Source organism: Homo sapiens, chromosome X (genome assembly GCF_000001405.40).
Source record: "Homo sapiens chromosome X, GRCh38.p14 Primary Assembly".
In the NCBI taxonomy this organism is placed as follows: domain Eukaryota; kingdom Metazoa; phylum Chordata; class Mammalia; order Primates; family Hominidae; genus Homo; species Homo sapiens.
In genome coordinates this window covers 104,058,909-104,072,006 of record NC_000023.11, presented here as the reverse complement: position 1 = coordinate 104,072,006, position 13,098 = coordinate 104,058,909, and the positions used below count along the sequence as shown (strand labels likewise).

At 41.8% G+C, this 13,098-nt stretch overlaps 1 pseudogene across 1 annotated transcript; it reads left to right on the top strand.

Moving 5' to 3' along the window:
* Window positions 1-9,068: 9,068 nt before the first annotated feature.
* H2BW3P (H2B.W histone 3, pseudogene) lies at window positions 9,069-11,503 on the top strand (annotated as a pseudogene). Its single transcript, NR_130172.1, has 4 exons — window positions 9,069-9,446; window positions 9,870-9,928; window positions 10,129-10,324; window positions 11,158-11,503. The product of NR_130172.1 is annotated as a H2B.W histone 3, pseudogene (transcript).
* The last annotated feature ends 1,595 nt before the right edge of the window (window positions 11,504-13,098 follow it).

Here is a 13,098-nt window from a genome sequence, read left to right as displayed (position 1 = left end):
TATTTTGTTACAGCAGCCTGAGCTAATACAGTAAGGAATATGTATAATTGCATGCATTTTAATTCCTGCCTTTAAACAATACTTTTATCTCTTTTTAAAAATTATTATTTTATTTTTATGAGACAGGGTCTTGCTCTGTTGCCCACGCTGGAGTGCAGTGGTACAATCATGGCTCACTGCAGCCTTGACCTCCTGTGCTCAAGCAATCCTCCCACCTCAGCCTCCCTAGCACCTGGGACTACAGGCACGTGCCACCACAGCCAGCTAATATTTTTGATTATTAGTAGAGATCAGGTCTCGCTATGTTGTCCAGGCTGGTCTTGAACTCTTGGGCTCAAGCAATCTGTCTGCCTCAGCCTCCCAAAGTGCTGGGATTACAGGCATGAGCTACCATGCTAAGCCTACTTTAATCATGTGTATAAAAACAAATAACCTATAATCCCACCAATTAGAAGTATTAGCCATCCAGACTTGTGATCTATTAATGTACATATCTTCCTACAAAGACGGATTATACCATTCATACCTATTTTCAACCTCAAGTATTAACTTACCTCCTCCTTTCTCTTTCTTTCTTTCTTTCTTTCTTTCTTTCTTTCTTTCTTTCTTTCTTTCTCTTTCTTTCTTTCTTTTCTTTCTTTTCTTTCTTGAGATGGAGTCTCATTCTGTTGCCCAGGCTGGAGTGCAGTGCTGCAATCTCGGCTTACCATAACCTCTGCTTCCCGGGTTCAAGCTATTCTCTTGCCTCAGCCTCCCGAGTAGCTGGGACTACAGGTGTGTGCCACCATGCCTGGCTAATTTTTGTATTTTTAGTAGAGATGGAGTTTCACTATGCTGGCCGGGCTGGTCTCGAACTCCTGAGCTCGTGATCTGCCCTCCTCAGCCTCCCGAAGTGCTGGGATTATAGGCGTGAGCCACCATGCCCTGCCTTACCTCACCCTTTCTAAGGGCTCACATTCTTAAATAATCAGTGGGATTACATGAAGTGAAAGCTGTTTTCTCTGCTGCAGCTTAAAGTTTCAAAAGCAAAACAGTAGGTAGGTCAACTTCAATCAAGTGCCAATGAGGTGACACAGTCACGGGGCTTAGTGTGTAGCCAGAGGATTTGAGCCTTGGAAGTAACCATGTTAGTCACCAGTACCTTATCTCCTGCCTGAGGCAATTGTCCAGTAAAGTCACTCAGCTCCTTGCAGTGATATGCTTCTTACATTGTGCCCAAACGTGCCTCCCTGTAGCTTCTATTCAATAGTCCTGGGATTATGTGCTGGAGGCCTAGAGACAGTAGTTAATCCATCCTCCAGAATTTGAAGTCAGCTGTTGTGTCCTGTCCCTCTACCTCCAAGTCTTCTGCAACTGACACTTCTCAGATCCTTCAGACCCAAGTTACACAGATGGGAAACCATCCTGGTTGCAGATATGCTCAGATTTGCTCATTACCGGGTCTGTGAATCCTGGTTCAATCATCCAACACAGTTGCTCCCCTTTCTGTGTTGTCATTTGCAAATTTGATAAAGATGCTATTCATCTATGATAGATTCAGCAACCTCTTCATTTGTACATTAATGCAGCTCAAAGGAAAGCATGAATGTTGTCAGGTGACCTAGGATTGAACAATAACTCCTAGTTAGTTGCATCTGGTAGCCATCCTTTTCATTAAAGTCTTGATTTGTACCCTGGGTAGTGTAAGTGTTAAACTGAGTGGGAGCAGATTAGAAGTGCATGGCGGGAGGTGAAAGACATGTAATTACTAAGTGAATACTCATACAGGAATGAGATGGGAAAAACTGCAGTTGCTCATCTGCAGTAGTTTTGCCCCACGTTTCTCAAGTATTTAATGTTGGGCTACTCTTTTAGTCACTAGCTTTACTTGTTTTTTGAATCAGGGGTATATATTTTTTTTTTCCAAATAAGCAAGGATTGAGATTTATGTCCCTGAATCCATCTATTATCTGCAAAACTGGCAGTACCAGGGCTTTGTTATAGCAGTTGTATTTATAGGGAAAGGAAAAGGCTGGAGTTAAATGATTGTCTTCTTTTATGCATTAACATCCCTTGAAAATCACTGGTCAGTGGCTTTACACTTTTATTCTGTCAGTGTACATAGGCAGAGATGACTTTAATTACTAAGAACAGAAAATGAAATATCAGAAAGAAAAAATATACTGAAAGTTAAAAGAGAAAAATCAGCCAAATAAAATTTCATGCCTAATTCATCTCTGCAAAGAATAAAAAAAGTCTCATTTAGTATTACGACTTACAATTCCCATGAAACTCTGCAGGCCAGTGAGTTTTATAAACACTCCTAGAATTTAACCAATGCATGTTCATACCTAATGAGAATGCCTTGCCTTTGGAGTCTTTTTAAATTTTTTTTTTAAATTTACATTAAGTTCTGGGATACATGTGCTGAACATGCAGGTGTGTTATACAGGTATTCATGTGCTATGGTGGTTTGCTGCACATATCAACCCATCATCTAGGTTTTAAGCTCTGCATGCATTCAGTATTTATTGTAATGCTCTCCCTCCCCTTTGCCCCTAACCCCTGACAGGCCCAGGTGGGTGATGTTCCCCTCCCTGTGTCCACGTGTTCTCATTGTTCAGTTCCCACTTATGAATGAGAACATGTGGCATTCGGTTTTTTGTTCCTGTGTTAGTTTGCTGAAGATAATGGTTTTCAGCTTCATCCATGTCCCTGCAAAGGACATGAACTCATTCTTTTTATATGGCTGCATAGTATTCCATGGTGTATATGTGGCACATTATCTTTATCCAGTCTATCATTGATGGGCATTTGCATTGGATCCAAGTCTTTGCTATTGTAAATAATGCTGCAATAAACATACGTATGCATGTGTCTTTACAGTAGAATGATTTATAATCCTTTAGGTATATATCCAGTAATGGGATTGCTGGGTCAAATGGTATTTCTGGTTCTATATCGTTGAGGAATGGCCACACTGTCTTCCACAATGGTCGAATTAATTTACACTCCAACCAACAGTGTAAATGTGTTCCTATTTCTCTGCATCCTCTCCAGCATCTGTTGTTTCCAGACTTTTAGTGATCACCATTCTAACAGGCGTGAGATGGTATCACATTGTGGTTTTGATTTGCATTTCTCTAATGAGCAGTCATGATGAGCTTTTATTTTCATATGTTTGTTGGCCACATAAATGTCTTCTTTTGAGAAGTGTCTGTTCATATCCTTTGCCCACTTTTTGATTTTGTATTTTTTTCTTGTAAATTTGTTTAAGTTTCTTGTAGATTCTGGATATTAGCCCTTTGTCAGATGGAAAGATTGCAAAAATTTTCTCCCATTCTGTAGGTTGCCTGTTCACTCTGATGATATTTTCTTTTCTGGGCAGAAGCTTAAATGTGTAGAAATATGTTTGATTCTTGCCTTGGTAATCTTCTACCTGTTTGATCTTGGGCAAGTGACAATCTTTTGTGGTTCAGTTTCTTCATCCACAAAACGGAGGAAATAACACTACTTCACAGAGATCTTGTGAAAGGCAATTAAAGTGTTCCCTGTAAAGCACTTAGAACAATGCCTGGAATAGTCGCCACTCAGTCCGTGGTGACTCTTTTTATTACTATAGCAATGCCTAGTTTAATTGACACCAACCAAAATGAGTGTCGGTTATATGGGTGGTAATGAAAGGGAGTGCAATTAACTGGCAAGGTCAGAAGTAGGGTAAGTTAATTCAATCTTCTGGTTAATAGGTGCCATGTGGAATCTACCTATGTTCTAGGGATTGTTATTTTCAGTAATAATAATTGCAATTAAGTCCTCAACTTTACCATTGAACTGAATATGTTGTTGTCCCCAGTCATATCAAATGGTGAAGAAACATCTCTAAAGAGCCAGGAAAAACTACTGACATAACTGTGTGGTCACTAATTAAAGGCAAAGATATTGATTAATGGAATAATGAAAATGTCTGATATATAACTGGATACTTTATGTGTGGAAACAACACTGAGATCTCTGCAGCAAAGTTTTGGTGCAGAAAGCTTGTATTAGGGATTTCCAGAGTTATAAAACCAATAGGATATCTATCTATCTATCTATCTATCTATCTATCTATCTATCTATCTATCATCTATCTATCTATCTAGATAGATAGACAGATAGATTTATTTTAAGAAATTGATTCATGTGATTATGGAGGCTGGCAAGTCCAAAATCTGCAGGATGGGCTGGCAGCCTGGAGTCCCAGGTAAAAGCTGAGATTACAGTTTAAGTCTAAAGACCATGAGGCTGAAGACCCACGGGAGAGCCGATATTGCAGTTCAAGTGTGAAGGCTGTTTGCTGCAGAATTTACTCTTGCTTGGGGGAAGTCAGTCTTTTTGTTCTATTCAGGCCATTATGGAGGGCAGTCTGTTGTACTCAGGTCCATTGATTTAAATGTTAATCCCAAACACACCTTCACAGAAACATTCAGAATAAAATTTGACCACATATCTAGATACTGTAACCCAACCAAGTCGGGTTACCTAAATCTCTATCCTTGTTTATTTGGGAAAAAAATCTCCCCCTGGTTGGAAAGACAAGACAAGGCATAAAATTGGCCATCACAGGGCTAAATGTGGGTTATCAAGTAATGACTGTATAATCCTAACCTGAAAACATTTCTCACTCCCTGATTCCCACCCTTTCTCTCACCAATTTGCAGCAGAATAAACATATGCTCCTCAACTTACAATGGAGTTCAGTCCGGTTAAACCTATCGTAAAGTCAAATAATTTTAAGTCGAACCATCCTAAGTTGGAGTCCGTCTGTATTGGACACAATTATGCAACGTGGAATGGCTACGCATGTGGTTTAGACATGTATTGAAACACAGAATTGAGCACGGGAATGGTTAAATTTCCTAACTGCTGCTTGAAAAAACTCCCGTGGTTTCAGGAGAAAATCAGGTTCCTTGTATACCTTTGCATGAAACCTAACTTGATGCTTTTGCTTTTATACCTCTGAACTGATCACATTGCCCTCAAGGAAAAATCAAGCTATGAAAAGACTTGCTCTAAAGGTGAGGCTCACCTCATCCTGTCTACCTAAGGTATCCATGCCTTGAAGGTGCCATCACTACAATATGAGATAGGATGGCAGAGGACAACGTTCAAGTGCTTGGGTTCTGGACTCAGACTGACGTGGATTTGAATCCCTGCTCTTCCATTTATCAGCTGTGTGATCATTGGACACATTACTTAGTTACTCTGTGTTTTGTCTGCAAAAAATTGAGGCTAAAATATGTACACCACAAAGGGCTATTAGGAGGAGTAAAGCTGATAAGCAAACCATGGAGGAAACACAATCTGACATTCACATGGGTTTAACACTGGGACTCAGACAGCTTTGTAGAGAAAGAATTTTTTTTAAAGTGCAGTACAGGAAAGGGGTCTGTGTCCAAGAGGTCCAGAAGGGTCGTGTGGACTAGCCACAGAATTCAGCAATGGTCTCATACGTTGTCAGGGGCCAGTCTCTTATCTAATGTAGGTTCATTCATTTATCTGTTCATTTAACAAAGATCTGAGAGCTACTACACTCACAACTTCCTGCATGATCTAGTTACCCTGGGAAGTACAGAGTCGTAAATTTGGACATATTTCAGAGTGAAAGGGATGCTATTAAGAATTACTAAGGGACAACAGGCGAAATCAGGACATATGGTCACTATGCTAGGGAAAATGTCTGGGATAAGGAAAAAAAGTAAATAGTCACCCTTTAAAGCTTTTTCTGTGCCCCCACTCATGTCCACACTCATTCCCCCCTATTCCAGAGTGTCAGTCTATGATGAAATAAGAAGAGTATTATATTCCGTCAAGAATTAGGACCAATCACATTTTGGAGAAGGCATTGTACTGAAGTAAATGTTTTTATTGTCTCATATTACCATAGTGGGTTAATTTTGTCAGACACATGTGGTTGAAAGTGAAAAAGCCCCACAACAATCAAATTGAAAAAAAAAAAAAAGGAAGAGTCATCCTACTTTTTCTTTCTTTTTTTTTTTTTTAGAAGGAGTCTCGCTCTGTCGCCAGGCTGGAGTGCAGCGACACGATTTCGGCTCACTGCAAACTTCGCTTCCCGAGTTCAAGCAGTTCTCCTGCCTCAGCCTCCCGAGTAGCTGGGACCTCAGGCACATCACCAAGCCAGGCTAAATTTGGTATTTTTAGTAAAGATGGGGTTTCGCCATGTTGGCCAGGATGGTCTCGATCTCTTGACCTCCTGATCCGCCCACCTCGGCCTCCCAAAGTGCTGGGATTACAGGCGTGAGCCACCACGCCCGGCACCTAGTTTTCTTAATTGGTCACTGTCATTTTCTTAAACTTGTGAACAAATGAGAACCTAAAAGAGCCAATCTTTCAAGATGGATCCCAGTGGCTAACTGAGCTTAAATTTAAAATAGAGCCAAGCTGCCACGTGTTGACTAGAGCTAACACGTGTACTACAAATTCCCCGAAAACCCACACCTCTATCTAACTTTGGAACTTTCAGAGCTCACCTGAAGCAACCAACCAGAGCTCACCTGTCGCTGCCAATAAGGGCTCAGCTGTATTGACCAACCAGAGCTCAACTGAGTCAACCAATCAGAACTAAGTTTGAATTGTTTATTTGCATAAATTGACTGTACTGGGAACCTCGATAGGAACTTTCTCTATAAAAGCCATATCCTCTCTTTGTTCTCTGGAACTGCACTTTTGTTTTACACTGAAGTCTGCACCTCCCTGGTTTGCAAACTGTACACAGGAATAGCCTCTTTCCTCCAAATTCCTTTACAAAGAATTTTTCTTCACAATATGATGCGAGAGGTAGAAGACATGCTTACAGCTGTGGATTCATATCCTGAAATCACCACGATTACAATAAAACGAAAAATCAAACAAAGAAATAAAAAGTAGACAAAAACCTCAAACTAATTTTCTCTTCAATTTACAAGGCTGAACAGCTAGGAGGAGACTTATTGATTCAGGACAGTTCACCTGCTCACATTTTGAGCCAATGGCTGAGGCCCAGGACTGGAGATACTTCATTAGTTTAGCCAGTGGAGAGTGGGGTTTGGATGCTCTCATTGGATACTTCTATCATAAGTGATGCATACTCATAGGGGTTAAGCTTTGCATTAAAAAAGATTGTAGACTGGGAAATAATATAATTAGACAAATGTGAATGACTTAGAGCAGTTATTTCAGTTTCTAGGAAGCTTAAAAAGGGTTCATTGATTTATTTGACTCAGCTATTTCTGCACTGTGGGTTTTTGTTATGTGTTTAAATGAATTCTATAACAGAGGTAATGTTGAAAAAAGATTGTATGAGGTCTGCTTGTTCCATTAGTAATGTTTGTCCCAGTTCGATCCTTCTGAATTTTTATTTATAGCAGTAAACTGTTTCCCTGTGTGTGCGTGTGTGTGTGTGTGTGTGGGTGGGTGTGTGTAATGTAATTTAATTACTAGTATTTCAGGTATGAGTTTTGTAACCACATTTATAAATGAGCTGCTCATATATATACATATACATATATATATATGTATATATATATATATATATATATTTAGTATGCTTCCTTCAATGGGTATCAACATCATATTATATTTTCTTGAAATAAGTTTTGTCGGCTGGGCGCAGTAGCTCATGCCTGTAATCCCAGCTCCTTGGGAGGCCGAGGCAGGAGGATCGCTTGAGTCCAGGAGTTCTACACCAGTCTGGGGAAACATGATGAAACCACATCTCTACAAAAAAAAAATATGAAAACTAGCCGGGCGTGGTGGTGCGCGCTTCTAGTCCCAGCTACTCGGGAAGCTGAGGCAGGGAAATCACTTGAACCCAGGAGGCAGAGGTTGCAGTGAGCTGAGATCGCACCACTGCACTCCAGCCTGGGCGACAGAGCGAGACTCTGTCTCAAAAAAAGAAAAAGTTTTCTCTCTTTAAACCTGGAACCATCTTACTAGCAATAAATGACCTGATCTTAAAAGTCTGACAGGAAACAGCATTGGAATTTGGGATGGTACCTTCTTGGTGATTGCTATTTCTTTAATTCTTCTTAATCGCTAAATCCTTGTTTGGTTCAGTTTCTGGGATTTATGTTTTACATTCATATATTTAATAAATGTTTCTGAATGTATTATCATAGATTCTTGAAGGGTATTTTTTAACTTCAAAATATTTCCAATTTCATGGATTCAATTTTTCTCCATAAGGAGGTTTCTTAGAGAATTGGGGTAACATTTTTTCACCCAACATCACTTATTCACCAACACTAACATTCAGAGTATTTTGGGGATCAAAATACTGTTAAGAAAACAATTTTAAATTTCGCACATGTTTAAGGATTTGTAATATTTTTACAAGCATCTCAATTTCTGTTTGTGTTGTGTGCTTGGAGACTGTGGTTTGGCCATCGTTCCTTATCCACATTCACTGAAGGTGTCGATCATAACTGAGGACAGGAGCCGAACAGCCAGGTCCCTTTAATGCCCAGGACCCTTCGGCAGCCATGTCAGGGTGTTCCTGCTCAAGCCGGGGTGGCTTAGCCCTTGATAACAGAAGATTCTGAGATGGGTGAGAAGTGGTCCACACGTGGCCACTGTCATTCCTCTGGCATAATGGACTTGGGCTCAGGAGGTCAAGCCCTCTTCAAGGAGCATGAGCTGAAATTGCTAAACTTTGGGAGTTTTCCGTGACACCCTTCAAAGTGCTCACGGTGTGGCATGGATCAGCTGGGGAGGGTTGATGTGGTTTTGCCCTGTGGGGTATCTATCTGTGTACTTTTGTCTGAGGGAGGCAACTGGGGCCACTTAGGCCGGCAGGTGCCCACTGTGATTGGTTGACATGATACCAAGCAACAGGATCATCCAGTCACCTTCAATGCAGGGAGGATGGCTGACAGGCTCCCTGGGTGACACTTCATGCAATCAGATGTCGAGTTGGACTGTGACATAGAGCCATGTGGCCACACTAAATTCCCCCCCACCCTTCCCCTGTCCACAACCGTCATTGTCTGTTCTTGCCATCCAGTGGCCACTGCCTCCACCATGGCTGAGGCTTTCTCTAAGACAACCTCTGAGGAAGACCAGAGCATCCAGGAGCCCAAAGAGGCCAACTCCATGACGGCCCAGAAGCAGAAGAAGTGAGGGCTTCGAGGCTCCCGTAGGCGCCATGCCAACAGCGGCGGAGATATCTTCGGGGACAGCTTTGCCGCCTATTTCCCCCGGGTGCTGAAGCAGGTTCACCAGGCCCTCAGCCTTTCCCAGGAGGCCGTGAGTGTCATGGATTCTATGGTTCGTGACATACTGGACCGCATCGCCACCGAGGCTGGTCACCTGGCCCACTACTCCAAGTGCGTGACCATCACCTCCCGGGACATTCGGATGGCCGTGTGCCTGCTGCTGCCGGGGAAGATGGGCAAGCTCGCTGAGTCTCAGGGCACGAATGCCACCCTCAGGTACACCAAAAGCAAGTGAGCTATCTCAGGAGCGCCCGAGCACCCGGGAAAGCCAAATGCTCTGTTCAGAACCACCACACGTGGCCCTAAAGACCAGTGGCCTGCCAAGGAGGGGACCCCACTGGAGATTGGGGTGGGTGGCACCGTTCTGGCTTGGGGAGCATGTGGCGTGTGGCCTTCTGCGGTTTTTCAAGCATTTTTCCCACAGTGCAAAACACTGTCAACTCCAATACATCTGTAGTGCAATATGCTCCAAGGAAAAGTAGGGGGTGTTTCCGTAATCGTGTTTCATGTCCTCAGTTTCCTAAATGGCCGTTTTTATCAGTTATCTTTCTAGGTTATCTTTGTGGTGATATTATCAATGTACTGATGTTTACCCTTTTCACTCTCATTCTCCTACAACTGGATGGTGGAATTTTCCAGAACTTCATTATGTGCGATATGGCAAGAGAGAAAGTGAATACGCTGATATAAGAAGCAAGGTAACCCTGCTAAAAGTGTTCAGCATCTTTCTCCCCATGAATCCATGTAAATAAGCAAACGAGGCACAGTTACAGTGTACATATAGCTAAATAAATTTTCAAGAATCCATTCGTTTTCCAGCTTCCCTGACTCTGAGATCACTATTGCAATTCATTCTCTTTTTGCACTGACAATAATCATTTCGTTTCTTTTTGAACAGAAACCTTCCTTCCTTCCAGATGTGTGTCAGTAGAATTACAGAGTGTCCACGGAAACAGCTCATGCCCTAGTGTACAGTGGTGCAGCCAATGAGTGACCTGAAGTCTATGAGCAACACTCATTGTCCCAATGTGGGACGAGTGACCGAAGCTGAACCCACAACAGCCTTCCTGTGATATTCCACGTGGTGGTTAAAGGCATGGCGATGTGATTCTTTACCTGATGTTTTTGTTTGCAGTGTTTGTAATCATGGTCTTTTAGGGATATGAATCCAAAGCTAAGATTAATATACGTTCCTTGACCCTAACATCAAGTTATACAGAGCATTGTCAGCCATTAGAAGAAGTCAGATAACGCTTATTTCCTCAAAAGATTGGCATATTAATATTCACGTTAATATTAATACAGGCTACCTTTCATTGTGCTCTCTTCTGGGTCCCAAGTCTTGGTATTTTTAGAATTTTTTTTTTTCTATAAGTGTATTGCTGAATTTCAGAGCAGGTGCTGACTTACCCATTGCTTTCCTTTTCCATTGATTTCCAGTCGCCCGAGTATGTGGACAAGAGAACATACTCTGGGATTGCAACCCACAGGAATTTATTATGTTGTGCCTTGAAGCTCAATATGTGGCCATTTTTGTTAAATGTTTCCCGTAAATTTTGAAACATCTCATAAACAACCCTTCTCCTTCATATGTAGAAACCAGTAAAGGATGGCACTCTCAGTCAAACCACGAAGCAAAAGCTGGATAAATGACAAAAATCAAAATTTTCTTGAGCCCGTCAGAAGTGGGAAAGAACCACCCCAGAGGGACCCAACACATAGCCACATAGATTATTTCACCATTTAAAGAGGACCCCTTGGTCAAGAGGGAAAAGGGTTCGGGGCAGGATAGTAGCCAGAGCTTCCCTGAGTAGTGCAGATGGGAAGAGGGGAAGGTCACCTCCAGAGCTCCACTTGGGATCCATAGAGAAATGATATAGAACCAAGAAGTCCACTCACTGGGATTTGTTACTTTCTGTTTTTCCAGAATATTAGAAAAATATTATGAAAATAGTTGAAGAGAAATGTTATGAAAATAGTTGAAGCTGTACTTACTGCACAAGGAGACCAAGAAAAACTCCCACAAAATCAGCTGCAAGTAAATCCCTCTGGATGGTGCCGCCACATGTTCCTACAAGTCCAGAACAACCCTTGCCAAACCAAAGACACTTGGCAGAACCCTGTTCCTTTCTAGAGACAGAGCTGTATACCTGTTCCAAAACACCACATCTCACTCAGTGACTTATTTCTCATTATGCTAATTGTTTTGCTGTAAAGTGCCAATGTTTCTGTGAATTAAGACATACGAATAAATTTCTGAAGTTACCCTTGCATATGTGTGTAATTAGACAAGTCCTTTTGAGAAACCAGATCCATTGGGATATTTTACCCTGGAATATGTGTTTTCCCTTTGTAAATTCAGAAATCAAAGAGGAGGATTAGTAAAACAGGGTTAACAATGAAATCTGATTTGTTTGTGGGGAGTGAAGAATGAGGTGGCAAGGGGACTGATGTTGGTGAATTATAGGAAGAAAGAGGAAGGGGGTGGATTGATGCGAAGATCGGAAGAGGAAGCTCGCACATTTGATATAGCATTTCAGTGAGTGATTGAGCAGAAGGGAAACGTAGCGAGCAATCATGATGTCATGTTGCGACTTATAGGAAACACAAACTAAGGGAAAGAGCTTTGCTACCTAAACAACAAATAAGAAGTATCAATGTAGGGAAAATAGCATGAGTGGGATAAACATAGTCCAGTCAAACATTTTATCAGCTTTCCCTGTAAGCTGGAGTCCATTTGAAAACATAAGCAAGGACCCGAACGCAGCACAGAGAAAACTACATCAAAAAGTTTAAGGAACAATACCTATTCTAGGCTCCCTCGTAATGAAATCTCACTTGTTTAGATTTATCTGATTCTGCTCTTCTTCAGGATAGAATCTTTTGTTTTTGAAAATCTTCATGACTGGCCTCTACGTGTCATGGGGATCATGGAATGCTGTCCGATGGCGCAGCACAAGCTCCACTCGGATCCATGTCAGCCAGTGAGGCAACTGCAGCCGAGGGGCCACAGCCCAAAGTGTGATCAGGTCTCCCGGTCTGAACTAGGAAGAGTTAGTTGTCCAGGGATGTTCAATGGGAGTTGAAGGGGAAACCTGTGATTAGAGGGGTGTACTTCTTTGATTCCTCGATGGGTTGTATGATTTTAATGCTGTTGATGGAGGTGTATTCTATTAGTTTTCGAGGGCCGCTTCAAAAACATTCCAGGGACTGGCTAACTTAAACACTATTTATTTTTAATCTCACAGTTCTGGATACCAATTTTCACCTTTTGGTAAGGAGACCAATCCTGTTGGGTAGGGTCAAACCTCACAACTTCACCTTAACCAGATGGCCTGTGTAGAGACTCTCTCCGAATAAGGTCACATTCTAAAACACTAGGGGCCAGGACTTCTACCTGTGACTTTTAGGGAGACAGAACTCCATACATACTAGTACATATTCTGCATCCATTCCGCGGCACAAATTAACGTCCACACATAGAAAATATATTCATTTCATCACAACATCCCCAAAGTCTTAACTCACTCCAAAATCAGTTCTCCAGTATCTCACCTGATAATCTTCTATGTCTGGAATGGGTGAGTCTCCAGGTGTGACTCATGCTGAGGTGGGAATTCTCTCCACCACTGCACCTGCGAAGCTAGACGAGTTATCTGTTTCTGAAAGACAGTGTGGGACTGGTACCAGATAGGGCTTATCATACCAAAAGTAGGAAATCTGAAAAACTACTGGAGTTCGTGGACCTTAAGCACCTTTGAAACCTAGTGGGGGCAAATTCCATTAGATTCTAAGGATGGAAAAGATTCTACTTGGCCTCAATGCTCTGTCCTTCAGGCCCAGTGGGGTAACAGCTTTACACCCTAAG